This window comes from Homo sapiens, chromosome 5 (genome assembly GCF_000001405.40).
Source record: "Homo sapiens chromosome 5, GRCh38.p14 Primary Assembly".
Taxonomy (NCBI): Eukaryota; Metazoa; Chordata; class Mammalia; order Primates; family Hominidae; genus Homo; species Homo sapiens.
Window position 1 is genome coordinate 38,407,740 of NC_000005.10, and position 26,152 is coordinate 38,433,891.

Consider the following 26,152-nt stretch of genomic DNA (forward strand, 5'->3'; position numbering starts at 1 on the left):
TTGATTTTTGCTTTTGAAGAAGTGAGGAAATAGCATTCTTTTGTGTTGTCTTTTTTCTTCTTCAGATATTGTTATCCAGTATCCTCAGTTCTTTGGCCACTCCTATGTAACGTTTGAACCTCTGAAGAATTCTTATCAGGCATTTCAAATTACTCTTGAATTTAGGGTAAGAGGGATGTGTTGTTTGATGAGTGCTTTTTGGACACTTTAACACAGCAATGTGCTACATTCAAAGGCTGGGGGAGAGGAAGCGGGGCAGCAGGGAGAGCGACGAAAGGTAAATATGACACAGAGCCTGTCTCTAAACCAGCTCATGAGACAATAGGAATGAAGAGTACATTCACAACATTCAAGTGTGACAGTGAGGAGACGGTGGGTTTGTATATTACTGAACTATAGAGTAGCTGGCATGAAGATTGCAAGTGAGAATGTTGGGGTCCGAGCAATGTTGTTCACAATAGTGATTTCTCCCAGGCCAGGATTGAGAAGAAACAATGCATTCCCCGTTCCAAAATTGTTTAAAAAGAGAGCCCAATTCTCTGTCTTCATTGTGATAGCTGTCACTGAACAAATAGAAAACTTTTCTTTACGCAAGCCTTGCTTCGTGAGGGCCCAGTGGAGGTTCTCTGATTTGAATCAACTGCAGATAAGAATTCAGTCAGTGACCTCAGCTTAAACTGATTCTTTTGGGTATCTCCAATGATACAAAAAGGTCTGGAGGTCTGGAAAGAAGTCTCATTTGAAGTCATGGCCACAGTGTTGAGTCTTCAAGAAATGACCTGTCTTAGTCTAAGACCACCAGCACAGCTTTTGGCTGAGCTATTCTTACCATCCTGTTCTCCTGATAGAAGGAAAGAAGCAAATGTGCATGCCTCCCCAGGGGGAGGGAAATAGAAAGAACAAAGTGAAAATAGAATTGGATGTACACCAGCAATGTCCTCACTGTGACCGTGGTCTTTGTACATTTGGTTTTCTGAGGCTCTGCAGGTGCATCCACAAAGGACAAGTAAAGAGCGGGTCAAAGATGGGGTCACCTTGCTCTCGCCTCACTGCTACCCCTCAGTTTATATCACTGCCATTTGTTTATTGAAAATGAACTGGGACCAGGTATCTGGGAGTGAATTGGAGCCCACATGCTTGACCCTTTGTAGATAGGATCGTGGAGGAGAAAATGCTCAAGTTTCACATTTGTGTCTTTCCAGGTGGTGCCTTAAGGAAGGGGAGGTGCTTACTGTTCATGTGGCTTTTGTTTGTATAATCACAGGCGGAGGCAGAGGATGGCTTACTGCTCTACTGTGGGGAGAACGAACACGGGAGGGGGGATTTCATGTCCCTGGCTATCATCCGACGCTCCCTGCAGTTCAGGTAATTCCTGCCAAAAGCCTCACACTCTTTTTTTGTTACATTATCTTACATTATATTTGCCTTTTTATAGTATGAAAAAATATATACAGGATAGGTTCTAGTAGATGAAAGAATGGTTTGTATAAAATGAGTATGAACCAGTTTACCAAATACTGGTGTACTGGGATTGCAGGATAACCTATAAAACTTGGGTTTTGGAAATCATTCATTCATTCAGCAGCACCTACAGTGTAACTGGCTCTGGAGGTGTTGTAGAGTGTACCTGGTCCTGGGGATGCTGTTGAACATACCTGATGCTGCAGGTGCTGTTGAATGTACCTGGCACTGCAGGTGCTGTTGAATGTACCTGGCTCTGGAGGTGCTGTTGAATGTACCTGGCACTGGAGGTGCTGTTGAATGTACCTGGTGCTGGAGGTACTGTTGGATGTAACTGGTGCTGTAGGTGCTGCTGAATGTTTCTTGAGGAGGGTACCTGGCACTCCTGTCAATCCTGAGGATGCAGAGTGAGCCAAAGGAATACAGTTTCTTTTCTCTGGAGCTCTAGTGGATGTGATGGGAAGAAGGCTGGGGCCTTCTCATCTCCCTTTGGCAAATGTGGCTGACAGGTGTGGACTGAGAGGAGCCTCCAACCTCCTATGGGCTTACCATCCTCATCTTCCTCTGGGCTGTGCTGGGAACTCTTTGGCTTGCCTCCACTGCCCTCATCGTTTCTCCCCCAACACACTTTGGAAGCCACCTTTAGCTTATGTGTGGTCTTCCTGGGGGGCAGAGTTTTGTCGAAGGGTGAAGATTTTAATGAGTCTTGTGGAGGTGTGCACTGCACCTCTTTGTGAACAACCAACGGGCACCAGCCTTGTCCTTCTCCGTGGCGCACTGGCTGACATCCTAATGGCACCAACCCCCTGCTGCCTGACCTTCAGCATGTGGCGCAACCTCTCCAAGCCTGCCTTTCCTCATGGGGCTGTTGTGAGGGTTAAATGAGTTAATTCATAAAAGCGCTTAGAGCAGCGTCTGACCCAGAGCAAGTACTCAATAAGCATCAGCCATTATTGTCTTCTTAAATTACCTTCAGCATAAAAGTGTTTTTGGTTAAGTTGAAGAAGGCTTCTGAGCATCCCACTTGGGCTAGAAAATGGGCCCCCATGCTTTACTAAATGATTTGATTCACAGAAGTTTGGTGTTAGCCACCAGGATCTTGGGCGGTGGTTTTCACCTTGTAGGGTCCTAGCACTTGGAGGATCGGATAGACTCTCAGTAGCACTGGCAGTTGTTAGCTGGTAGCAGCTCTCCAACTATGTAACTCCTGCTGAGTGAATCTGCTATCCTCTTCAGGGTAAGCCTGTTTTGCAATGCCTCTTGACTGCATCTCACTTCACTGAGGATCTCGAGACAAAGGGAGGGCCTGAGAAGTGGCTGCAGTTAATGCAAATCCTAGTAAGGAAAATGCCGGCTACGACTCCTTCCCCACCGGCAGTCTCAGGATCCATGTGGAAGAGGCATGGTGGCTATTTGGAAGTGGACCAGAAAGGTCCAAGATTCCACCTGTTAGGCATAGTGACCATGGGCACTCCTGGGCCATAGGGAGGTTGGGATAAAAACAAGAATAATGCAGCCATCTGAGGACACCCCTCCTCTGTCTCACCTCACTGCTGAGCCTCCTGTGGACCTCGCCTGTATTGAGGTACAGCTAAGCACAGATGGCAGGGCTGGCCAGCTTGCCAAAATGAGCCTGAAGACCTGGATTTTTATATTTTATGAATATCACTGAGCTTTATTATTTGAGAGTTTGGAAAGTCCCCAGAGAAATCCCTGGAAACACAGTGACTTGCATTCTATTCACTGTAGCTTGAATTCACTGTAAGCATTTGGCAATTGCTGAAAACAAGAAGGAGGTCCTTAGTTGCCCATCATTTTCTTTTCTTTTTCTCTTTCTTATGATTTTTCCTTTACTTTTCTTATGGGTCCTGTCCTTTTCAGAAACAAAGAAGGCTAAATTGCTTCCGAGCAGAAGTGATCATGTACTTCCAGTCAAAAGAAAATGGGAGCTGGTTGCAGTGGCTCACACCTGTAATCCCAGGATTTTGGGAGGCCAAGGTGGGCGGATCACGAGGTCAGGAGATCGAGACCATCCTGGCCAACATGGCGAAACCACGTCTCTACTAAAAATACAAAAATTAGCCGGGTGTGGTGGCATGCGCCTGTAGTCCCAGCTACTCAGGAGGCTGAGGTGGGAGAATCGCTTGAACCTGGGAGGCGGAGGTTGCAGTGAGCAGAGATCACACCACTGGACTCCAGCCTGGGCAACAGAGCGAGACTCTTTCTCAAAAGAAAAGAAAAGAAAACGGGAATGCGGATTAGCTACTACCTTTCATTAATTTCTTTTTTTTTTTTTTTTTTTTTGAGACAGAGTCTCTGTTGCCAAGGCTGGAGTGCAGTGGTGCAATCTGGGCTCACTTCAACCTCCACCTCCTGGGTTCAAGTGATTCTCCTGCCTCATCCTCCTGAGTAGCTAGGATTACAAGCATCTGCCATCGTGCTCAGTTAACTTTTGTATTTTTAGTAGAGACAGGGTTTCACCATGTTGGCCAGGATGGTATCGAACTCCTGAGCTCAAGTGATCCACCTGCCTCGGCCTCCCAAAGTGCTGGGATTACAGATGTGAGCCACTGTGCCCAGCTTTTTAAAATTTAAACTTTTATTTTTTTATTTTTATTTATTTTTGAGACAGAGTTTCACTCTGTTGCCCAGGCAGTGGCTTGATCTTGGCTCACTGTAACCTCCACCTCCTGGGTTCAAACAATTCTGCTGCCTCAGCCTCTGGAGCAGCTGTGACTATAGGCACCCACCACCATGTGCAGCTAATCTTTGTGTTTTTAGTAGAAACGGGGTTTCACCATGTTGGTCAGGCTGGTCTCGAACTCCTAACCTCAGGTGATCCGCCCGCCTTCGCCTTCCAAAGTGCTGGGATTACAGACGTAACTCACCATGCCTGGCCTAATGTCAACTTTGATTTTAAATACAGGGGGTACATGTGCAGATTTGCTATGTGGGAATAGTGAATGATGCTGAGGCTTGGGGTACAGATCCCGTCATGCAGGTAGCGAGCACAGTACCCAAATGCCCATGATTTTCTAAGTTGCAGAAAAAATCAGGTTAACAAAGGCCCTGCATGGAAAGGTCCTATGGGCAGATGAAAGATAACTAGACGGAGATCGTCCCCAGGAAGAGGTGCCTAGTTCTTCCCTGTATTGATTTCAACAGCACTTGATATTCATAAACATGACTCTGAACAGACTGACTCTGAAGGGAGCTGTTGACCTGGAAGTGACGTCCACGGAATCTGAAAACATAATGGCCTGGTTCGTCAAGAAATCTTCTTTTCCTTTTCCTCCCCAACAGGTTTAATTGTGGAACTGGGGTTGCCATCATCGTAAGTGAGACCAAAATCAAACTAGGGGGTTGGCACACGGTTATGCTCTACAGAGATGGGCTGAACGGGCTGCTGCAGCTGAACAATGGCACCCCAGTGACAGGCCAGTCTCAGGTATGTATGAGCCCCACACCCTGCCCACCCCACATACCACCCACCATAAGTCTCCTGAGAAGGGCTTACTGCAGAGAGCCGTGGCAGAGTCTGCAGGATTCAAGTTCTGGATGGGCTTGGTAAGGCCTATTTCTCATGGTGAACCCATGCAACAGACCTTTGATGTGCTACTGAGTGGTCTTGCACTCCAGGTGAGCTTTCAGGGCACACATCCACCGCACATCTACCAAAGAGAAGAATTAAACTTGCAAGCATCATTGCTGTTGGTGCATAGGTCCATGTTGCAGGACTGTGCCCAAGGACATGTTCTCTTTCCCTAAGTACATCAAAGCCAGCAGTAGAAGAAGGCCCATATTAGAAAAATAGAACCCATTATTACTATTATTACTTGGAGGCAGGGTCTCACTCTGTCCCCCAGGCTGGAGTACAGTGGCATAATCATGGCTCACTGCAGCCTCTACCTCCCTGGTTCAAACCATCCCGCCTCAGGCTCCCAAGTAGCTGGAACTACAGGCATGTGCCACCATGCCTGGCTAATTTTTTTTTTTTTTTTTTTTTTTTGTAGAGTTAGAGTTTCACTGTGTTGCCCAGGCTGGTCATGAACTCCTGGATGCAAGCGATTCTCCCACCTTGGCCTCCCAAAGTGCTGGGGTTACGGGGATGAGCCACCACACCCAGCCTAGAAGCCATTATTAGTGTCAAACACAAAGCTTGCTTTTAGGGCAGGAGTGTTGCAATCCTGTGCTTTAGAAGACAGTCTTGAAAGGTTCACTTGGTTCAAAATGCAGGAATAAGCTGTTCATCTACCTTTGAGGGGGGCCGTAATTGTAGGAAATGGTTAAAAAAAAAAAGTTGGACTGTTGGGCTACTCAGCAAATCACCTAGTATTCACATATTTGTTATGGTCTGGGCAATTTTAGGACTATGTTCAGAATAAACAGTTTGGATTAGCAGCCTGCCAGGGAACTGAGCCTATAATTATAATCAGGCAGGTGTCTGTATTCTCCAAGGAAAAATGTAGCAAGAAAGCCTTTGTTTATATGTCTAGAGCTTCCTCCCTGCCTGGGCTCCTCTCTACTCTTTGCCAGCAAGACACATTATATAAAGCAGTGGTCCCCAACCTTTTTGGCACGAGGGACCAGTTTTGTGGAAGTCAATTTTTCCACGGACCAAAGTTGGGGGATGGTTTCGGGATAAACTGTTCCATCTCAGACCATCAGGCATGGTTAGAGTCTCAGAAGGAGCGTGTAACCTGGATCCCTCGCATGCGCAGTTCACAACAGGGTTCGTGCTCCTGTAAGAATCTAATGGCACAGCTGATCTGACAGAAGACGGAGCTCAGGCGGAGATGCTCGCTCACCCCGCCACTCACCTTCTGCTGCGCACCCTGCTTCCTAACAGGCCACAGACTGGTATGGGTCCATGGCCCAGGGGTTGGGGACCCCTGATATAAAGGGCTATGCCTTGCTGACACCCTGCCTTCCAAAATATAGAAGAAAATATCTCATTAGTTTGGATCCCAGTGATTCCAAAGGATTAAGAATTCAAATTTAGTAAATGTGAATCCAGGGAGATTGTTTATGCTCAGATGGCTAGGTAAGAAAAAGACAGGGTCAGCGAACTGCATCAGTGCCAGGACTATAGGTCTAACATGATAAAAGTTAGTTTGATAGGAATAAAGAAACTTCTAGCTTGGGTCCAAAATACTAACATGAAGACAGAATGGGGAAGCTACAATAGAAGCCTGTGAAAATGTCTAATCGCTTAAAGTGGGGGAAGTTCCATAGCTGTTAACAAACAGGGTCATGTGGTAACAAGAAGCTAAAGAATTATAGGCTGTGTTAACGGAGTCATAGCATCTAAAAAAGGGAGGTGATGATCTTATTCTATTCTGGTGACTATGTGATAGCTTCTAGTGACTCAGATGGTGACTCTAATCCTCCGAGAGGATTACATTCACATCTGGATCACATTCTAAGAAGGCTGCAGACAAATTGGAGCAGTTCCGGGGTAGTCACCCAAACTGGAAGATGACTTGAAATCCCTTCAATGATTGATTGAAGGAGCAATGTTTAGTTTGGAGAAGAGAAGATGAAGGCATGCAAGGTGGCTTTTCATTATAGAGTCAAAGGGAGAGTCTTGGGAAAGAAAGATTTACTCCATGGACCCCCCCTCAAGGCCAGAGCTGAATGGAGTGAGCCTCAGGAGGTCGATTTTAGCTTCACCTAATCATACAAAGGGACAGAAGTGCAACAGACTATCTCAGGAGAGGGGGGCATCCTTGGGAGGTGTTCAAGGCATAACTTATCTAAACTTCTTGTTAGGGATGTACCAGGAATCCAACAGCCAGTGAAAGCTTGAATTATAAGAGTTTTTATATTTTTTGTTAATCTCAAGATTCTATGATTTTAATGAATATAAGAATTAATTGAGCCAGGCACAGTGGCTCATGCCTCCAATACCATTACTTTGGGAGGCTGAGGTGGGTGGATCACTTGAAGTCAGGAGTTCGAGACCAGCCTGGCCAACATGTGAAACCTTGTCTCTACTAAAAATATAAAAAAATTAGCCAGGCGTGGTGGTGGGCGCCTGTAATCCTAGCTACTCAGGAGGCTGAGGCAGGAAAATTGCCTGAACCTGGGAGGCAGAGGTTGCAGTGAGCTTAGATTGCGCTACTGCACTCCATCCTGGGCTGCAGAGCAAGACTCCATCTCAAAAAAAAAAAAAGAAAAGAATTAAGAATTAATTTGATTGCCAGGCACAGTGGCTCACGCCTATAATTCCCACACTTTGGGAAGCCAAGGCAGGAGGATCACTTGAACTCAGCCTAGCCTAGGCAACATGGTGAAGCCCCATCTCTACCAAAAACAGAAAAATTAGCCAGGTGTGGTGGCATATGCCTGTAGTCCCAGCTACTTGGGAGGCTGAGGAGGGAGGATCACTTGAGCCCAGGAGGTGAAGCCTGCAGTGAGCCATGTTTGAGCCTATGAATAGCCCTGCACTTCAGCCTGGGTAACATAGCCAGACCCCATTTGTATTAGTCCGTTCTCATACTGCTATGAAGAAACACCTGAGACTGGGTAATTTATGAAGAAAAGAGGTTTAATTGACTTACAGTTCTGCATGGCTGGGAAGGCCTCAGGAAACTTACAATCATGGTGGAAGGGGAAGCAAACACGTCCTTCTTTATGTGGCAGCAGCAAGGAGAAGTGCTGGGCAAACGGGGAAAAGCCCTTTATAAAACTATCAGATCTCATGAGAACTCACTACCACGAGAACAGCATGGGGGTAACCACCCCCATGATTCAATTACCTCCCACTGAGTCCCTCCCACGACCCGTGGGGATTATAGGAGCTACAATTCAAGATGATATTTGGGTGGAGACACAGCCAAGCCATATCATCATGTTTTTTTTTTAAAAAAATAAGTAATTGCAAGAAGCATGTAGCTTTATGGATACTCAGGCTGTAGATTGCCTCCATACTAATGAGACTTGCTAAGCAAGTTGTAAAGCAGGACCACAGATGTGGCTGTTTAATAAGCTTTCTGAGAGACACTGATTCTATCTGAAGTGGGATTCCCCAGCAACAGACCTGAGATGTGGAGTCCTGTGCAAGTGATGTATTAAGAAAGTGCTCCCAGGAGAAACTGCTAAGAGAGAGGAGACGGACAGGGAAGAAGAGGATATCAGCAAGAGTGAGATCTCAGGCCAAGTTTTTCAGGGTATGGCTTCTGCCTGATCCAGTAGAGGAGCTCTGGAGTACAAATTATACCTCAGACTCATCCGAAACTGTTAAGGGCTGTCCTGGGAGAATGTGAATTCCAGGGCACTTCCATTTCTCTGTACAGGCAGGCAAAGCAAGCTCCAGGGATCAGAAGGCAACCCTCATCTGAAATGTAAAAGCCAGGTTTGAAGACTGTTGCCCGGGATCTTGCGAAGGGCACAGCAAAATAGCTACCCACCCCTACAAGGCACTTTATGCTCTAGAAAAGGATTGAGCTGTCAGGCCTTCTGCTGTGGTCCCAGATCATGGAACAAAACTGGAAGGGCCAGGATGGGATCCAGAAGAAGTGAATTCTGAGAATCTTGGTGAAAGAAGCCAAGAGGACATTTAACTCATCTAATGAAAGCAGCATGCTCAGTGGCTGGCAAACAGCGTAACCTGACCCTGAAAACCCACTTCCTAGCTTGTGTTGAGTCTACTATTTACAAATGATTCTTATCTCTTCATCAGAAAAGATAAAACAATCATTAGATTTTCCACTTGCTGGTAACAGAAGTTTAAAGTATCAAGATTATGTTTCAGAGTCTTACACTCTGAACATTTTATAAGTTCTGGCAGCGTGCCTTTCCCTGACACCCTTCCTTACCCTGTAATGCAGATAAATGAGATATTTTGGTCATAAAAAAAAGAATGACCAGGCCGGGCGTGGTAGCTCATGCCAGTAATCCCAGCACTTTGGGAGACTGAGGCAGGTAGATCACGAGGTCAGGAGTTTGAGACCAGCCTGACCAACGTGGTGAAACCTCGTTTCTAAAAATACAAAATTAGCTAGGCGTGGTGACACATGCCTGTAATCCCAGCTACTCAGGAGGCTGAGACAGGAGAATTGCTTGAACCTGGGAGGCGGAGGTTACGGTGAGCCAGGATGGTGCCTTTGCACTCCAGCCTGGGAGACAGAGCGAGACTCTGTCTCAAAAAAAAAAAAAAAAAAAAAACAAAAAAAAAAGGCCAAGGGTGACTTAATTTTGTCCCATCTAATCTTCAGCTCTGTATTTTGTAACCTTTAAACCTGCAATCCAGATTGTGGTTTGGTCTAAGATGGGAAGTTTCCCTACCTCACTGTAAAAAAAAGAAGTCATATTCATAAGCAAATTTCAAAACACTTTGCATCATAATCTGTTTGGTAATTCCCCTCCACCCCCCGTCCACCCCAACAATGTTTCTCTCAGGATATAGTATAAAGGTGACTAGGACAGTGAAAAGGTAATTGTTAGCCACTGTATACAAAATTAGTATTATCACCTTTGGAGGCACAGAATAGCCCCCTAAGATCCTTCCAAAGTACACAGTCAACTGGTGTCAAGACTGGAAAGAGAACGTTTTTGTTGGATGCCTAGCATGGTTCACTGCCTGGTGGGTGAGGCGTGTCTCTGACCTCCCTTCCCTTCCCTTCTAGACATTCCAAAATCCTCCCTTCTGGAAGCACAGCCCTCTGAGAAACTCACTGAGCTCCCTACGGTAATCGTGGGTTTAATTTTCCAGTAAGGCAAGGTCTTAAAGATAAATACAGATGGAAGAAAATGCTGGGGCTGTCACTGACGTCTTAACCATGTCCCTCATAAAAATCTGGTGTGTTTTGGCTTTTGATTTTGTTTAGTGAGAGTATTCATGAGTGGTCATCTTTCTTAAAGGGCCAATACAGTAAAATTACTTTCCGGACACCTCTCTATCTTGGTGGCGCTCCCAGCGCTTACTGGTTGGTTAGAGCAACAGGGACAAACCGAGGCTTTCAAGGCTGTGTGCAGTCGCTCGCTGTGAATGGGAGGAGAATTGACATGAGGCCCTGGCCCCTGGGAAAAGCACTCAGTGGGGCTGATGTGGGTAAGTGGCTGCCTGGTGGGTTGGGGTACTCTTATGGGACTTATGTCTTATGGGACTGCCTTTCTGGCTTGGGCCATGGAGGGAGCAGCAACATTAGGTGCTACCCTGGGAAGCTGGTACCTTCAGAACATCAGGAGGGAGGTGGGCCTCAGGGGTGAGGCTGGTGCTCTGCAGACATGCTGCTGACCCCGCATCTGAACACCAAGATATGGTAACAGTATGGTGCACCAAACCCTGGTTCTGTCCTGCTAGCAATTTGGGCCTCATCATGAAATATGGCATGGTCTTACTGGACAAAGCAACAAGCGATCCAGCCCTTTTACCTTACCTCACCCAGTCCAGTGGAAGAACCAACACAGTAATGTAAGAAGAGCTTTCATACACTCTCTGTTTCTTAAAGAAGTGGTCACATTCTAATTTGTGATCGCTGTGCCAAACATCTTCTCATATGCTCTCTCATTTACTTTCACACTAACGCTAAGAGGTAGAAGTTATTATCATGCCCATTTTACAGATGAGGAAACTGGGGCTTGCAGAAGTTAAATAACTTATTGAAAGTAGCAGGCAGAGCTAGGCTTATTTTTAAAGCAATAAGGACATTTATTCTATCACTGAAGGCAGCAGGTAGATAATTCCCAGGTTGGTTAATTCAGGGACTGTCTACTAGAGCTGCCATAACAAAATACTGCAGACTGGGCAAGTTAAACATCAGAAATTAATTTTCTCACAGTTCTGGAGGCTGGAAGTCCCAGATCAAGGTGCCAGCCAATTTGGTTCCTGGAGAGGCCTCTCTCCTTGGCTTGCAGATGGCCACCTTCTCGCTGTGTGCTCGTGGGATCTTTCCTCCATGTGTGCACACCCCTGGTATGTCTGTATGTCCAAATATCATCCTATAAGGACACCAATCGGACTGGATTAGGTCCCCACTCTTATGACCTCAATTAACCTTAAATACCTCCTTAAAGATACTATCTCCAAATACAGGGAATTAGGACTTCAACTGTGAATTTTGGGGGAAAAGCTGTTCAGTTCATAACAGGGTCTCTATGATATCAGGACTCTGGGTCGATATCCCTATGATACTCTCCTTTTCACTCACTACTCTAAGCGTCACATCCTCATGACTTTGTCCTTGGCAAGAAATGGCAAGTCTCCTCCTTGAATCTCTTTTCCCTCCATCTCTAAGATGCTATTTTGAAAGAATGCACAGTGAACAGCATAGTCTCACTGCCTAGATTCTACCGTTAACATTTTGCTGCATTTTCTTGACCACATATCAATTCATCCCTTTCTCCATTCCTCAGTCAGAGGTAGGATTCGATCCTCATGACTCCTAGAACAGTTTTTTGTTTTGTTTGTTTTTCTTGTAGCTAATATTATTAGTTGAGCACCTACTTTAAGTAGGCACCATTCTAAATTACTTTGATCTTTCCAAGGTTATTGTGAAGTAGGTGCTATCATTAGCCTTACTTTACAGATAAGAACCAATGGGGCTGGGCACAGTGCTCATGCCTGTAATCTCAGCACTTTGGGAGGCTGAGGCAGGCAGATCACGTGAGGTCAGGAGTTGGAGACCAGCCTGGCCAACATGGTGAAACTCTGTCTCTACTAAAATACAAAAATTAGCCGGGCTTAGTGGCACACCCATGTAATCCCAGCTACCCAGAAGACTGAGGCAGGAGAATTGCTTGAACCTGGGAGGCAGAGGTTGCAGTGAGCCAGGATTGTGCCACTGCACTCCAGCTTGGACAACAGAGTGAGACTGTCTTAAAAAACAAAAAACAAAAAACAAAACAAAACAAAACAAAAAACCAATGGTACAGAACAGTTAAGTAACTTGCCCAAGGTCACACAGCTAGTAAGTGGTAGAGTCTAATGTGACCTCAGCCATTCTGGCACAAGTGACTACCCTCTTACCAAAATCAGCTACATCAATGGCTACCAAATTGTTTCCCTCCACCTTGTTCACTCCTATAGGTGATGCCATTGTTATAACTATAAAAGATGAAGTTTACTTAACAAAAATAGTTTACCATCCATTGATTACTTGGTCAAAGTAAACAGTAAGCAGCAATGACTGAAACAATTATTAAAGCTGTCACTATGGTAGGACAATGTCTCCAAAATCCATCTTCTTTCTGTGATGATTCAGAACATAAGAACCAGCCATTCCATCAGGAGTCACATGCCTTGCTTATGAGCCTGGACTCTGAAGGCAGATTGCCTGGATTTGAAAAATTTTTGCAACTCAGTCTCCCCATCTAGAAATAGTAGCTGCCTCATAAGATTATTTTGTTTAAATGAGTTGTGGTGTGTAAAAAGCACTTAGAATAGGGCTTTGCACATCGCAAACATTTCGTAAATGTTTCCTGTTATTAATATTGTTATTCATATTCTAACCCTCCCATCAAATCAGCTATAATCTGTTTCTTCAGGGGAACAGCCCTGAATAAACCTGGTAGTCCTGAAATGGCATGGCAACCTCTGACAGGTAGTTCAGAGGTTGTAAAGTTGGGCAAGAACTGATTTCTGCCAGCTTTGTTAATTCTGACACAGTGCGATACCCACTTTTCCAGCAGGTGGCACCAAAAGGACCTCTCTTGTGGGCTTCAGCTCCCTGGATACAGCTATTGGATTACTGTATAGACTTCCCTCTGTGAATATTAATGGCATGTGTCAGCCATGTTGGTGTTTTACATTTCTTCGCATTTCATTTCCCCCGGGGTTATAAGAGTGGGGCTGATTATCCTTCCTCAGCTTCCATGTTTGCTGTCCTTTGGGTTAGTCCTCCTGAAATTCAAGTTTTTGTAAGTCAAACGCAGCCTCACCAGGGAGGTCATGGTTCTCCATCTGATATCTCTAACTTGTCATTGCCATCTTCAACTGTGACTTTTTCTCTGCCTTCCCACTAAACCCGTTTTTATTCCCCAGAGGGGCTTGCATTACTCAGTTCCTTCCACTTCATATCCTGTCTTTCGTTAGACTGTTCCCAGCTCCTGTGCTCTCTGCAAGTCACATTCTAGAATAGTTGGTCAGAAATCTCAGCAAATTTTGCATTCTCTGGTCCAGCTCTTGATTATTTCCATTCAGATTCTCAAACCTATATTTCCACCACTCATTTATGCCAATCCCATCTTGGATATCCCCACTCTGCTGGAGCAGTCACAGAGCCACTTCCCAGGGTATTTGAGATTCAGGGGGTCTGCGGTGACCATGGGTCTCACTATGGCTTACGAGCTCTTTTCCTCATTTCACTCAATAAATACTTCACTGAGCACCTGCTTAGTGCTTGTCACAGTGCTGGGTGCTGGAGATCAAGTAATGAACAAGACAGGATCCAGCTCAGTCCTCATATAGTTGCCATGTGGAGAGACCAAATTAATATAGTAATCACACAGTGAAGGTGAAGTTACACCTGGGGTAAGTGTTATGGAGGAGAAGTGGTGCTGCAGTGGTGATGTTTAATAGGGAGGTTGTAGGGTCTGGGGGCCAGGGAAAGAGTTTCTCAGAAGAGGAAGTTAATATGAAGCAAGAGTAGGAGTGAAAATGTGGAGAAGGGAAAGAAGGACATTCCAGGCAGAGGGAAGGGCTTGTTCCAGGGGAAGAGGAAGGGGGAGATGGGTGCCATGATCTAGTTTGTGATTTGAGAAGATCTTCTGACAGCTCATTAGACGGGGCTTTCAGGGATACATGTAGACCAGCTGAGGTCTATTGCAGTAGGTCACATGACAAATAACGGTGTGATCCAGGTGGTGGTGGTGGTAGAAACAGAGACGGATCTGACAGATCATTAGGGGAAAAATAGGTGGGCCTCGGTTACGGACTAGGGGTTGGGGACAGGGAAGTTTCTCCTTGTTCATGGTCTCTTTAAGGAACTCCACCCCATGATGTTCCACATTCTTTCCCCTCCTTAGGAGTCTTATTTCTCTTCTACCTCTCGCTTTCTTATCTAGCAGAAACCTACACAACAACTGGCCTATGGTAGGCGCTGGTGAAAGTGACTTTACATATTGATAATGAGGTCTGTGTATACATGACCTTGCCACACCCACCTCTCCTCCCCATCACTCTTGAGTTAAGAGTTTTCCCCCTAAAATGAACCTATTCAGCTACACTCTGCACTCACCCTTCCTGGCTGCCCTGGGCCCTCGCCGCCAGGTTCTCTCTTCTCAGTAGCCCAGGGATTCTTAACCTTTTTGGCACTGCAGCCCCCTTTGGTGGTCTGGGGAAGCCCATGGACCTCTTCTCATAATGATGTTCTTAAATGGAGAAAAATAATATATGTAATATTATAAGGGGAAACAATTATATTGAAACCCAGCTCTATCACATATTTTTAAAGTTTTGCTTTTACAATAATATATGTGCTCCTTTATAAAGCATATTAAGAACAGAATTATTTAATGGTGGGTGAAATAACTCCCATGACTTCAAAGTAGCAACAAGTATGAATGATACTTCAAAAAATGTGCAATAAATGGAAGGTGACAACAGCTGTGAGGTCTATTGGTCACAACTCACAAGAACTACTAACACTAGAAGTATCTTGCCTGTATTGAAAGTTGATGGAAATACATACCCAGCTCCAGGCAGAGGCTAGGGAAGATACAGATGCAATATATTTTCCTTCTCGGTTCACAGAGCCCCTGCTGTGGCTTACTCACCCATGCTCAGGTTCTCTCCAGCTCACACAGGTGCCATGCCTTGTGTGACCTTGTACCCACACTGGTTTGGAAACTCTGGGAACCTCTCTCCTTTCTTTCAAGGCCTGATACCAGCACTGGGTATTTCCACAGTCACCTTAGACTTAAATCCAACCAAAGCAACCTCTCCCTTTGCTTTGCAGAAGCCAGGTCCTGTTCACAGCCACTCTCATTTCTTCCCTCCTGCACCATTATTTTAGTCTTTCAAGCTACAAACCTTGAGATTGTGCTGGAGGAGTGTTCTTGCCTTTCAGCCTCTAGAATGAATCTCTCATTTCTTACTTCCTTGGATGTCTGATCCTTCACAGTCTCTCCATTTTCTTTGTGGCCATCCTGTTCACTCCCTATAGGAGTTTTTTCATCTCCTCCACTCCTATCACTCACCAGTCTGTTTTGCATGCCATTCCCAGAGTAATCTTGTTGAAATGCTGCTTTCACCAAGTCAGCAACTCCATCTGGCTTTCATGACCTCCCCTCCCCTACCCCCACCTCTTAAAAAATGGTTAAAATGCATAAGACTTGTAATGTAATCCTTTTCTGTACATCTAAAATAACATACAAGGATCCCGCTTCTTCCTGTGGATCCAGCCAAGCTCTGGGAAGGAATCACAACCCACAGAAATTGGCGGGGCTCAGGGACCTTTGAGAGTTTGGCTCTTTAAGATCAAAGTCAGCCAGCATCTCTGTGGAGGCTGTGAATGCTGGGGGTGACATTCTTAGGGCTGTGGCTGGAGACCACTGGTCATGTCTGCCTGAACATTCAGTAGCCACCAGCTGGAATTCACAGAGGCTAGCCACCCCCAGCTGGGGAGGCAAGCCATCTGCACGGGCTTTAATCAAATTCTGTTAGCAGTCCCTGAAGTCAGTCTCCTCTCCTGGGTCTAACCTGGGTGCCTGGCCTTTACCCCTCCTCCCAGTGAGTCTTTATGAAAAGACTGGACCAATTCAAGGAGGGAAGGGTGAGAGATTCATCCTGCCGAGATGACACACTCAGGCCAAGGAGGGCTCCTGCCCTCACAGGGTGGGCTACCAGCTCATGCAGAGGGCAGCCTTGAAGACTGGGAGAGAGCACAGCTGGACCCTTCACTTCCAGAGGCACGCCCTTCTACCTCCACCCCCAGAAAAAGTGTTTTGTACTCCCTCATGTGGTTCTGGGCCAGATGGTGGTCCATCTGTCTAACTGATTTCTTACACACAAAGAGAAAACACAAAGAAGCAGAAGAAAAACAGCCCATGAAAAGTCCATTTGTTTTCCTCTGATGACCTGCACTTGAAAATGACAAAGGATACCCTTTCTGGATCTCTCTGATCTGTTTGGTGAAGAGAACTCACTCATCAGATGTTGAGCCTTTCAGCCTTCTTACCACAGGCCACCTTTCTGTCCCTCATCAGGGTGTAACTTTGGAAGTAGAAATAGGGATTCTGAAACCCATGTGCCAATGTATTATGGGGCCCTCCCTCCCTGCTCCCTACCCCAGACAGAGAAGTTGACAATCCAGGTGAGTTAATCAGCTTAGACGTGGCTGGGTAACTCCTTCTGTGCCTACCTTGCTTGTCTCAACTTTGAACCAACAAGGCAGCAGCACTTAAGCTAATTGGGGTCATGCAATTTAGAATGCTTTTAACATAAACACCCTGTTGACATTGGAGGGATTGAAATATGCTCTGTTGGGAGCAAGAGAGAGATGAATTAAAGCAGAAACAGCTTAGTCATCCCAGTTAGTGGTCATAAAATTGCCCAGAAATGTATTATTTGATTTATTGTGTCCATCATGTTTTTTAAAGTCTCTATGGCTCTTCATACAGGACAAACCAAAATCAAATTAAAATGAAGAGCAGGTTCCACTTATCCTGAAAGCCCATTTGCAGTTGTGCAGAGCTGCAAATCAACAGGAGTAAGAACTGAAATGTATTTATTCAGAACCATGAGCTGCTGGTGGGGTCAGCGCCACTGTGTTGGACTGGCACACATGGAGGATTGGCTTTGTAATTCCCATTCTGTATTTAGGGGAATGCAGCAGTGGAATCTGTGATGAGGCCTCGTGCATCCATGGTGGCACCTGCACAGCAATCAAAGCCGACTCCTACATTTGCCTCTGTCCCCTTGGGTTTAAAGGTCGACACTGTGAAGATGGTGAGAAAGAAGCAAGTTGAAGGCGGTTTCTATCTGCATGTTAATTTGTGTAGATGTACTTTATCATCAATATAGTTTCTTTGTTAATTTGTTTGTTTGTTTTTGAGACAAAGGCTCCCTCTCTTACCCAGGCCGGAGTGCAGTGGCGCATCTCGGCTCACTGCAACCTCTGCCTCCCGGGTTCAAGTGATTCTCTTCTGCCTCAGCTCCCGAGTAGCTGGAACTACAGGCGCCCAGCTAATTTTTGTATTTTTAGTAGAGATGGGATTTCACCATGTTGCCCAGGCTGCTCTCAAACTCTTGACCTCAAGTGATCCACCCGCCTCGGCCTCCCAAAGTGCTGGGATTACAGGCGTGAGCCACCACGCCAGGCCTCATCAATGTACTTTTAACAAATCTAACAAAGCCCCATACATTTTTATGGGATCAACATTGCTTTGTTGGGAGAGATGGGGGAAACTTTTTAAACAAGGTTGGAGTGTCTCTGAGTGCCAAAATTTGTTTGGTAATGAGAACTCACTCATCTGATGTTGAGCCTTTCAGCACTTCTTACTGCAGGGCACCTCCGTCCCTCAGCCAAACATATGTTCATTTCAAGATGCTAAGAATCAGTGGGCTCCTCTTGGCCCTTGAATAACTTTTAAAAAGCCTGTATTGGTATGGTTTGTATCAGACTGAATTCAAAGCCTTTAAAGCTCAGGCTCATGCTCTTTAGAATTTCTGTCAATTTCTGATAAAAGATTGGGAAGATGAGGCCAGGCGCAGTGGCTCACGCCTATAATCCCAGCACTCTGGGAGGCCGAGGTGGGCGGATCACGAGGCCAACGTGGTGAAACTCCGTTTCTACTAAAAATACAAAAATTAGCTGGGTGTGGTGGTGCACAGCTGTAATCCCAGCTACTCGGGAGGCTGAGGCAGGAGAATTGCTTGAACCCAGGAGGCGGAGGTTGCAGTGAGCCGAGATAGCACCACTGTACTCCAATCTGGGTGACAGAGCGAGACTCCATCTTGGGAAAAAAAAAAAAGATAGGGAAGGTAGACACAGAAACGTTAACAATGTGATGGGACAAAAGTAACCTTTTTTTGTACTGTTCTACTAAATTATGCCACATTTTAATACTGTATATACAGAGAGTATGTAAATATATATACATGCACACACATGTGTATATAAACATGGAAACACATGCACACAAATACACATATGTGCGCTCACACAGGCAAATAATAACAGAAAATTTCAAAGATTTTGGAAAATCATGGAGGGTTCCAAAAGTGATTTTGGAAAATCATTTTTGCAGAATTCTGAAATTAAAATAAAAAGAAAATAAAACTGAGGCTAAGATCACAAAACTAGTCAAATTCTTCCCTAATTCAGATTTGGACCTAAGATACCATATTGGGGAAAACTTTTGTGATCTCAAATCTCATGTCACCTAAAAGAGGGCATGTGAGTCAGGGTAAGCCAATGCTGTTACATACCAGCTCATATTTCAGTAGCCTTACATAATCAAGGCTGGTTCTTGCTCATATTACAAAATCACTGCAGGTCAAAGATGGTGGTGAGAGAGGGGGTTCTGCTCCACACAGTTATACAGGGACACAGTTTCCTTCCATCTAATGGCTCTTCTAGGGCCTTAGAGTCCTCCACTGATACTTGCATCCTGCCAGCACGTGAGAGGAGAGAAAGAGCATGGAGGATGGAGGGAAGTTTTAGGGGCCAGACTTAGGGTGCTCTATGATTCTTCCACCCATGTTCTACTGGCCAGAATTCAGTCACACCACCAACCTAACTGCAGGGCTGCTGGGAATTGTAGTTTAGGTCTGTACCCAGGAGGGAAAGAACACAGCTATGGGTGCACATCTGGCCAGTTTCTGCCACAGAGGGATTTCTAACACCATGCTTGTTTTTTCAGCTTTCACCTTGACCATTCCTCAGTTCAGAGAGTCTCTGAGATCTTACGCTGCAACTCCCTGGCCACTGGAGCCCCAGCATTACCTTTCCTTCATGGAATTTGAGATCACATTTCGGCCAGACTCAGGAGATGGTGTCCTCCTGTACAGCTATGACACAGGCAGCAAAGACTTCCTGTCCATCAACTTGGCAGGGGGCCACGTGGAGTTCCGCTTTGACTGTGGCTCTGGGACCGGTGTCCTCAGGTGAGGGCTGAAAACTTCTGGGACTCTTTCCCTTAAAAAGGCAAATAGTAACTGCTTCAGAAAAAAACCAAATCGCCATTCAACAGCTCACACTCATCCTGTCTTCTCTACATGCTTATCTTCTGAAACTTGTCCTGACTTGTCCTGCTTCAGGCAGATGACAGGCTTCCTATAGAGAGTGCTCTCCTGCCCACAAGGCTTCCTTTTCTCAAATAACTACCCAACAGGTAGCAATTGTATGCTTCAAACTATGGAAAATGGACTTGCTTCAGGTGGAGGTAAACTGCCTCCATTTCCACCTAAAGTTATGTCATGTCATCCGCAGAAACTTGATGAACTGTAACTAGTCAGCATCTCATACAGAGCATCACATGATGGGCACCCAGCAAATACATGTCAACTAGTAAAAAAGTATTAACAAATATTTTTGAACAAAAATATCCTTGATGACCTCACTCTAAATATTCACTTTCCTCTTGAACTATTTCTTTAATGGAAATTGACAGTGAATCATCAGCAATGCAGAGACCCGTTCCCTAAGCAATATGCTCAAGAAAGATGTGTGATGAGTGGTTTCAATAGCATAGCAGGAAATGGGTGCTTCTGCAGTACTTGCTGGTATTTGCAGAATTGGTGTAAGTAGTCAAAACTTTCCTACTGTTATCTAGTTTGTACTATTAAATTACTTAGCAGGTCGATTGTTCCTTGGAGCCTGTAGTTGGTAGATGCAGACGCTTTTATTTGTTTATGTCTCCCATCTTTTTATTGTGTTGATGGTAGTTTTAACCTTCAAGCCAGAGGGGCCACTAATCGCATGCAGACATGCTTCTTGTTCCTACATTTGTCTAATTCGTCTTTTTTGAAACTCACTAGGATGTTTTGCTCCATGGTGCCCTGTAACAGGGTATCAGTTAGTCTGTTGTTTCAAAGAATATTGCAAACTGTTTTCAATCTTTATCCATATTGCTAGACTGTCATGTTTAAAAAGAGTATGTAGGTGAGATGCTACAACCATGCATTGCCCTTAACTACTGATCATTTTTCCTGGCTGATAGAAAATGCTCACTGCATTAGGTTTTAACAGTTCTTAAAAAGGATGGTTTGTTTTTGTCCTTGTGGCTGAATTCCTGCACATCAGTGACACCTTCCCCTCTAGGGGAACGGACAAATATTGTTGTACCTCTGGTTATGCAAAAACATCCTATATTTCAAGACAACTTTGGTGGGGATTTAATTGATTCAATTTACATATGATTATGCAAAATAGCCTAAGCAATTCACTTAGAACTGTATGTCAAGTTGACAAAGGAAGACACCTTGAATATCACCTTGCACTTTTAAATGGTTTTCTTCCTGGATAGGGAATGACCAGAAAGATCCAGGAGAGGTTCTGGGCTCATCAGCCCTCCTCCTGGACAGACTACCCCCTCCACACTGCCTCTCTGCAGTGGCAGCTCCAGCTGTGGGGTCACAAGCACATGGAACCCTTAGAAGTCCAGCATTTCTCTCTTTCATAACTCTGTGCTTATTTTTGACACGAGGTGCTTTTAATTTTTTTTTGTAAATTTACTAAGTTATTGTTTCACTGCCTGTCAGCAAAGGCAACTGGAAAAAGAATTTTTAAGAATTAGGTGATGAAAATGAGGCAAGAGTTTCTGAGGGACAAACCACCATCTGCCCCCTTATCCTATCCCCTCCTGAGCGTAAGCTAACAACAGTGATTACTCTTGGTGTTTCAGATGCCCCATTGGAAGCTGTTTATTTTGAAAACCATTTCAAAGACTTCTTGCTCAATTAAGACAATGCAGTGAAAACTCAAACTACAGGAAGTTGTGGAATTGGCCAGATCATTTTAACTTTAGGAATAGGATAAGATGGGCAAATTCATTATGAACTTGATTAAAAAATCACGACAATTGGAATGAGTTCTTGATGGCTGTGATCGATAAAAGGATGTTGAGGAAGGTGGCATATTGACAGCAAATGACCTCTGCAGTACAAAAACATGAAATGGCTCTGTTATGGAGATAGACCACTTAAAAAGGGCTGCTTATTTCTTTATTGCATATTGATTTAGCCAAGGTGATTAAATTCTAATTGCTAAGAACAGATCACAAAATCATTTGCCAAAGCAAAAATCAAGTGAGGGGGTGGTGACCTTTCAATAATTGTGCCCATTGGTATTCCTCATGGTTTTCTAAAGATGATCCAGGACCACAAGATAATTGGGAAGTTCAGCGAGGGCCAGGAACTAGACATTGCTAGAAATACAAATGCAATAATGAGTCTCTTTCTGCACACCTCACTATAAAACGTAATGAGTAAAACTTGCATAAATATCATTAAACTTTAAGCACTTCCACTTTGAATGAATAATTGAACTTTTAATGTAATTTTAATCATTTTTACAATATCAGAAAATATGGAATCTATTTCCCTCCCAATATTTTATTATGAAAAATTTCAAACATATAGAAAAATTGGAAGAATTGTACAGTAAGCATCCTGATACCGAGCACCTATAGTCTGTAATTAACGTTTTGCTATATTTGCCTCATCACATATCTAGCCATTATTATATCTGTCCATCCATCCTTCTTAATTTTTAAAAAAAAATTTTAATGACCAAAACAAAGTATCTAAAACTGCAGCTTCTCAAAGAACCACTTGTTCTTGCCCATCTGTTCCTCTCTTCAAACTTGACCTTGGCCTCCCATTGGGCCTTGTGGTTAAGAGCAGGGTCTCTGAAGACATCTTTATTGATAACAGTTTTGTCCAAGGGGATATCCGGTGGCTGTAGGGGCAATCTGACGTGCCATCATCAATGTTCTTCACGATGACAGCTTTGCGTCGGAGTAGCATCTGGCCAGGACCACCACCAGTTTCCCAGGTTTCAGGAACTTGCCCTTTTCAACAGCAACCACTCAGGCCTATAGCAGAAAGGTCCTTCTTATTTTTTATGCGTTTCAAAGTATGTTACAGACATTGGTATGCCAAATAATTTGTTTTTTACATCATAGCTCTTACAATTTTTCTCTTCTTCCAAGCTTGTGTGCAATTATGACCATATTTTATCTTCATGCCACCTCTCATCTAGAAAACCCATTTCACCAGACTCACTGAACCCCATTTCAGGCTCATTGTAAGGAATAAATAAAACAATAAATGCAATGTTCCTACTGTATGAAGGCATCCAATAAATAGTAGGTAATCCTGCTGTTGTTACTAAGCAGTAATTAGTGTTTTCTTTTTACTGAATGGATTGGTGTGCCTAAGGTTAGCATTAGTTTCCTCATGGCTAGATTGACAAAAATGATCCATAACATGCTAACCCATGCTTGGTTTCCTTCTATGTTCATCAGGGTTCTCCAGGGAAACAGAACCAATAGGCTATAAATAGACATGTAGAGAGATTTATCATGAGGCATTGGCTTGCATGATTATGGAGGCTGAGAAGTCCCCTGGCCTGCCATCTGCAAGCTGGCAGCCCAGGAAATTTAGTGGTGTATTTCCAGTCCAAGCCTGAAGGCCTGAGAACCAGAGAGCCCATGATGTCCGTTCCAGTCCAAGTCAAAGGCCCAAGTACCAGGAAGCTGATGATGTAAGTCTTGGTCCAAGTCTGAAGACCAAAGAACCAGGAGCACTGATGTTCAAGGCTAGAGAAGGTGGATGTCCCAACTCAAGAAGAGAGAGCACTTCCCCCCTCCTCTTCCTTTTTGTTCAGTTCAGAGCCTCCGCAGATTCCATGATGCCTGCCCAGGTTGGTGAGGGCAGATCTTTACTAAGTTTACTGATTCAGATGCTCATCTCTACCAGAAACACACTCACAGACACACCCAGAAATAATGTTGTACCAGCTATCTGGGCATTCCTTATCCTAATCAACTCGATACATAAAAATAATATCACATCTTCCTTCCACAGGAGTGAAGATCCCCTCACCCTGGGCAACTGGCACGAGCTTCGTGTATCTCGCACAGCAAAGAATGGAATCTTACAGGTGGATAAGCAGAAGATAGTGGAGGGAATGGCAGAGGTAAGAACAGTACACCTTTTCTCTTGATGGTTAGTGTGAGCCAGATTACTGTTTTCTGCCTGTCTTGGTAGAAAAGCAGCAGAGTGTTCTGGTTAACTACATGGACTTCAGTGCCTGTGTGGAAATCCCAGCTCCCCACTGGGCAAATTACTTAACTTTTCTATTGCTTAGCTACAAATGGGGATAATAATAGTATGGGCCTCATAGAGTTGTGAGGATTAAATGAGTTGATACCCAATACATTTAGCACTTACAAAATTGCCTTTCACCTCTTCGCCTCCCAACTCCACCTTTGTTCTTATCAGCTACAGCAAGTAGTAGGTAAGAACATGGACTCTGGGGTAGGGCCTGTGGTGCATGGGGGAGGCCTGACAAGAACAGGCTGTAAGTCCAGACTCCTGGGGCTCAAAATCTGGCTCAATTACTTACCAGTGGTGTGAGCTCATACTGGTTACTTGACCTACCAAGATTGTTCTTGTCTCAGCATTATCCTCTTATCAATGGGGATAATGGTGATGATAATAGTGCCTACTTCACAGAGTTGTTGTGAGAATTAAAAGAATTGTACATGTAAAACACAACAGTACCTGATGCCAGGTCAGCACTAAATAGCTTTACATAGTAGCAGTAGTGGTGGTGGTGGTCGTGGTGAATAGTGTATGGTTATGGACTCAAGAGGATAGGATTTCTACTTAAGTTTATAACTTTCCTCCATGATTTTAATTCCAAGGTTATGTTCAAAGAAAAATAACATTTTTAAGAGGAAGTCAGGGAGATTTGCTTTAAACTATAGCCTGCTAGGATTCTGCGAACACACACACAATTTATAGTTCCTTAAAAATAGAGGGGACTTTAGATTTGCCAATATCTTAGTTCCCACCAGTTTTCATTCTGTGTAAAGGAAGATTTGCAAAGGACATTGATAAATTTGGGTATATTAATAAGCAAATAGACTAGTAGAAAAAAGAAAAGGAAAGAAAAGAGACTTTCGCTGGGGAAAGAGGTACTTGACTGGAGAGAGAAGAAAAAGGGACACATGTGTCCAGAAGCCAGCCTGAGGGGCTGCAGTGGTGGGAGGACGAATTGGAACCAAGGGCCTCCTTGGGAATGAGGGGAATCCCAAATTGGGTTCTGTTTCAAGAGGTGGGCACCCTTCACACCTAGAAAATGCTCTATATATATCTGTGGAAGGGAGGAAGGGTGGGGGCAGGGAAGGGGGGAGGGAAGAAAGGAGGGGATGAATGGAAATTGATTTTAAATGGAGAACCAGAGTCACTTCTGGTGCAATCCAGAACATTCTAACAGCCGACTTTAGTCCAGGACAGAATTAGAAGCTCACGAGAATACACCTCGCTGTCTGTTGGCTTAATGATATAAATCCAATTGTATCTCTATAGATCTTAGTTGCAAACATCTGTAAAACAGGAACAAAAGCTGAGGATGGGAACATTTGTCAAAAGTAGGGGCAAGGTCCATGATTATAAATAAGTTACTCTTCAGGACACAGTATTTACTATTAGGATCTAAGAGACAACACATAGGTGAAAACCACACCTGAGAGTTTCTATCACTGCACATCAGCAAAAGAGCATGAAACCAATACGGTGACACCTACACTCTCCCTTTTGGCTTTTTTACCTCTGGCGACATGTGGGTGAATGGAGCTGACTGGAGTTTTAAAGAAAAAGGAACCCACAGGAAGGTGTGGCTTTGGTGTGTGCATTGGAGGGACATTCTGCTGAGTCCACTGTGAACCAGGAGTGGGAAGGCCAATGCCTGATCTCCATATGCTAAACCTTCATCAAGTCTTTTCCACAAGGAATTCTGCTCCCCAGCTGTCCATATCATGTTCGAAGTGTGGCTGACAGGGCAGTGGTCTTAGAGCTCAGAGACAGGTAGGGCAGGGGTTAGAGTACACTTTGAGGGGCTAACCCAGGACCTAAGCACCTAAGAGCCTGTGTGCAGACTAAACCTGACCACCAGGCTGCTCAGCTGGCAGCTCTGAGAAACAGCAGAAGCCTGGGCTTGAGTCCGACTATGCAAGACACGTGGAAGAGCAGTGCTTCTGAGGCTTTCAGGAAACTCCAGCCTGGAAGTTTGCTCAGCTTTGCAAACTGCTTCCAGCCAAGCCAAAGTATAGGATCCAGACACAAAACCCCTCACTGCAGAGCAGGCCTGGCTTTGGTGGGATATGTTTTCTTCTCTCCTGCGGTCCCCCTTGGGCATGGCAGCTGCAGCCCTTCCACTTGTCAGCAGGAGGGTGCTGCATGACGATTTTGATGAGCAGCCAAAAGGAACTGCTCCTCACTCCACGAGGCCCCGCTGCTGGACACAGCCATAATGCAATTTTTTTTCCTAGCAGCCAGCTGCTCTGAAACCTCCTTGACCCTGCATCCTTCCTCCTTTCCTCTTTCCATCTTATTTTAGCTTTTGTGTAAGAGCAATGACAAGAGAAAGATGCCTGTGGGTTTGTGGTGACAGTTCCTGACTGGTTCAGTATTCTGCTGGGCCACAAGAATTCCTGAAAGCCTTTATACTTCTTTGTTAACCTCCTAGTTAAGGAAGAACCCTCAAAGCTGCCGGAAGGCTATTGACAGAAGGCA

The 26,152-nt window shown here is 44.7% G+C and overlaps 1 protein-coding gene, 1 long non-coding RNA gene and 1 pseudogene across 4 annotated transcripts in view, besides 1 other annotated feature; 1 reads left to right on the plus strand and 2 right to left on the minus strand.

Annotated features, from left to right (window-relative positions):
• EGFLAM (EGF like, fibronectin type III and laminin G domains) overlaps window positions 1–26,152 on the plus strand; it is a 206,922-nt gene that overhangs the window by 149,181 nt on the left and 31,589 nt on the right. For all 3 annotated transcript variants that reach the window (NM_001205301.2, NM_152403.4, NM_182798.3), the window contains 7 exons: window positions 66–166; window positions 1,265–1,365; window positions 4,765–4,909; window positions 10,327–10,516; window positions 17,228–17,353; window positions 19,270–19,513; window positions 23,438–23,549. In NM_001205301.2, coding sequence (NP_001192230.1) covers window positions 66–166; window positions 1,265–1,365; window positions 4,765–4,909; window positions 10,327–10,516; window positions 17,228–17,353; window positions 19,270–19,513; window positions 23,438–23,549 — 1,019 coding nt within the window. The remainder of the gene's footprint in view (window positions 1–65; window positions 167–1,264; window positions 1,366–4,764; window positions 4,910–10,326; window positions 10,517–17,227; window positions 17,354–19,269; window positions 19,514–23,437; window positions 23,550–26,152) is intronic.
• EGFLAM-AS1 (EGFLAM antisense RNA 1) lies at window positions 17,116–19,637 on the minus strand. Its single transcript, NR_046737.1, has 2 exons — window positions 19,353–19,637; window positions 17,116–17,342 (listed from the first exon to the last, which is right to left on the minus strand). It is a non-coding gene; the product is annotated as an EGFLAM antisense RNA 1 (long non-coding RNA).
• Window positions 18,859–20,058: an enhancer, noted in NCBI's record as "MED14-independent group 3 enhancer chr5:38426700-38427899 (GRCh37/hg19 assembly coordinates)". NCBI's record gives its function as "activates an origin of replication core promoter dependent on BRD2, BRD4, P300/CBP and CDK7 cofactors, and independent of MED14, by STARR-seq in HCT116 cells {active_cell/tissue: HCT116}" and the evidence as "EXISTENCE:reporter gene assay evidence [ECO:0000049][PMID:35650434]".
• On the minus strand, window positions 22,110–22,849 carry LOC124901186 (60S ribosomal protein L27-like; annotated as a pseudogene).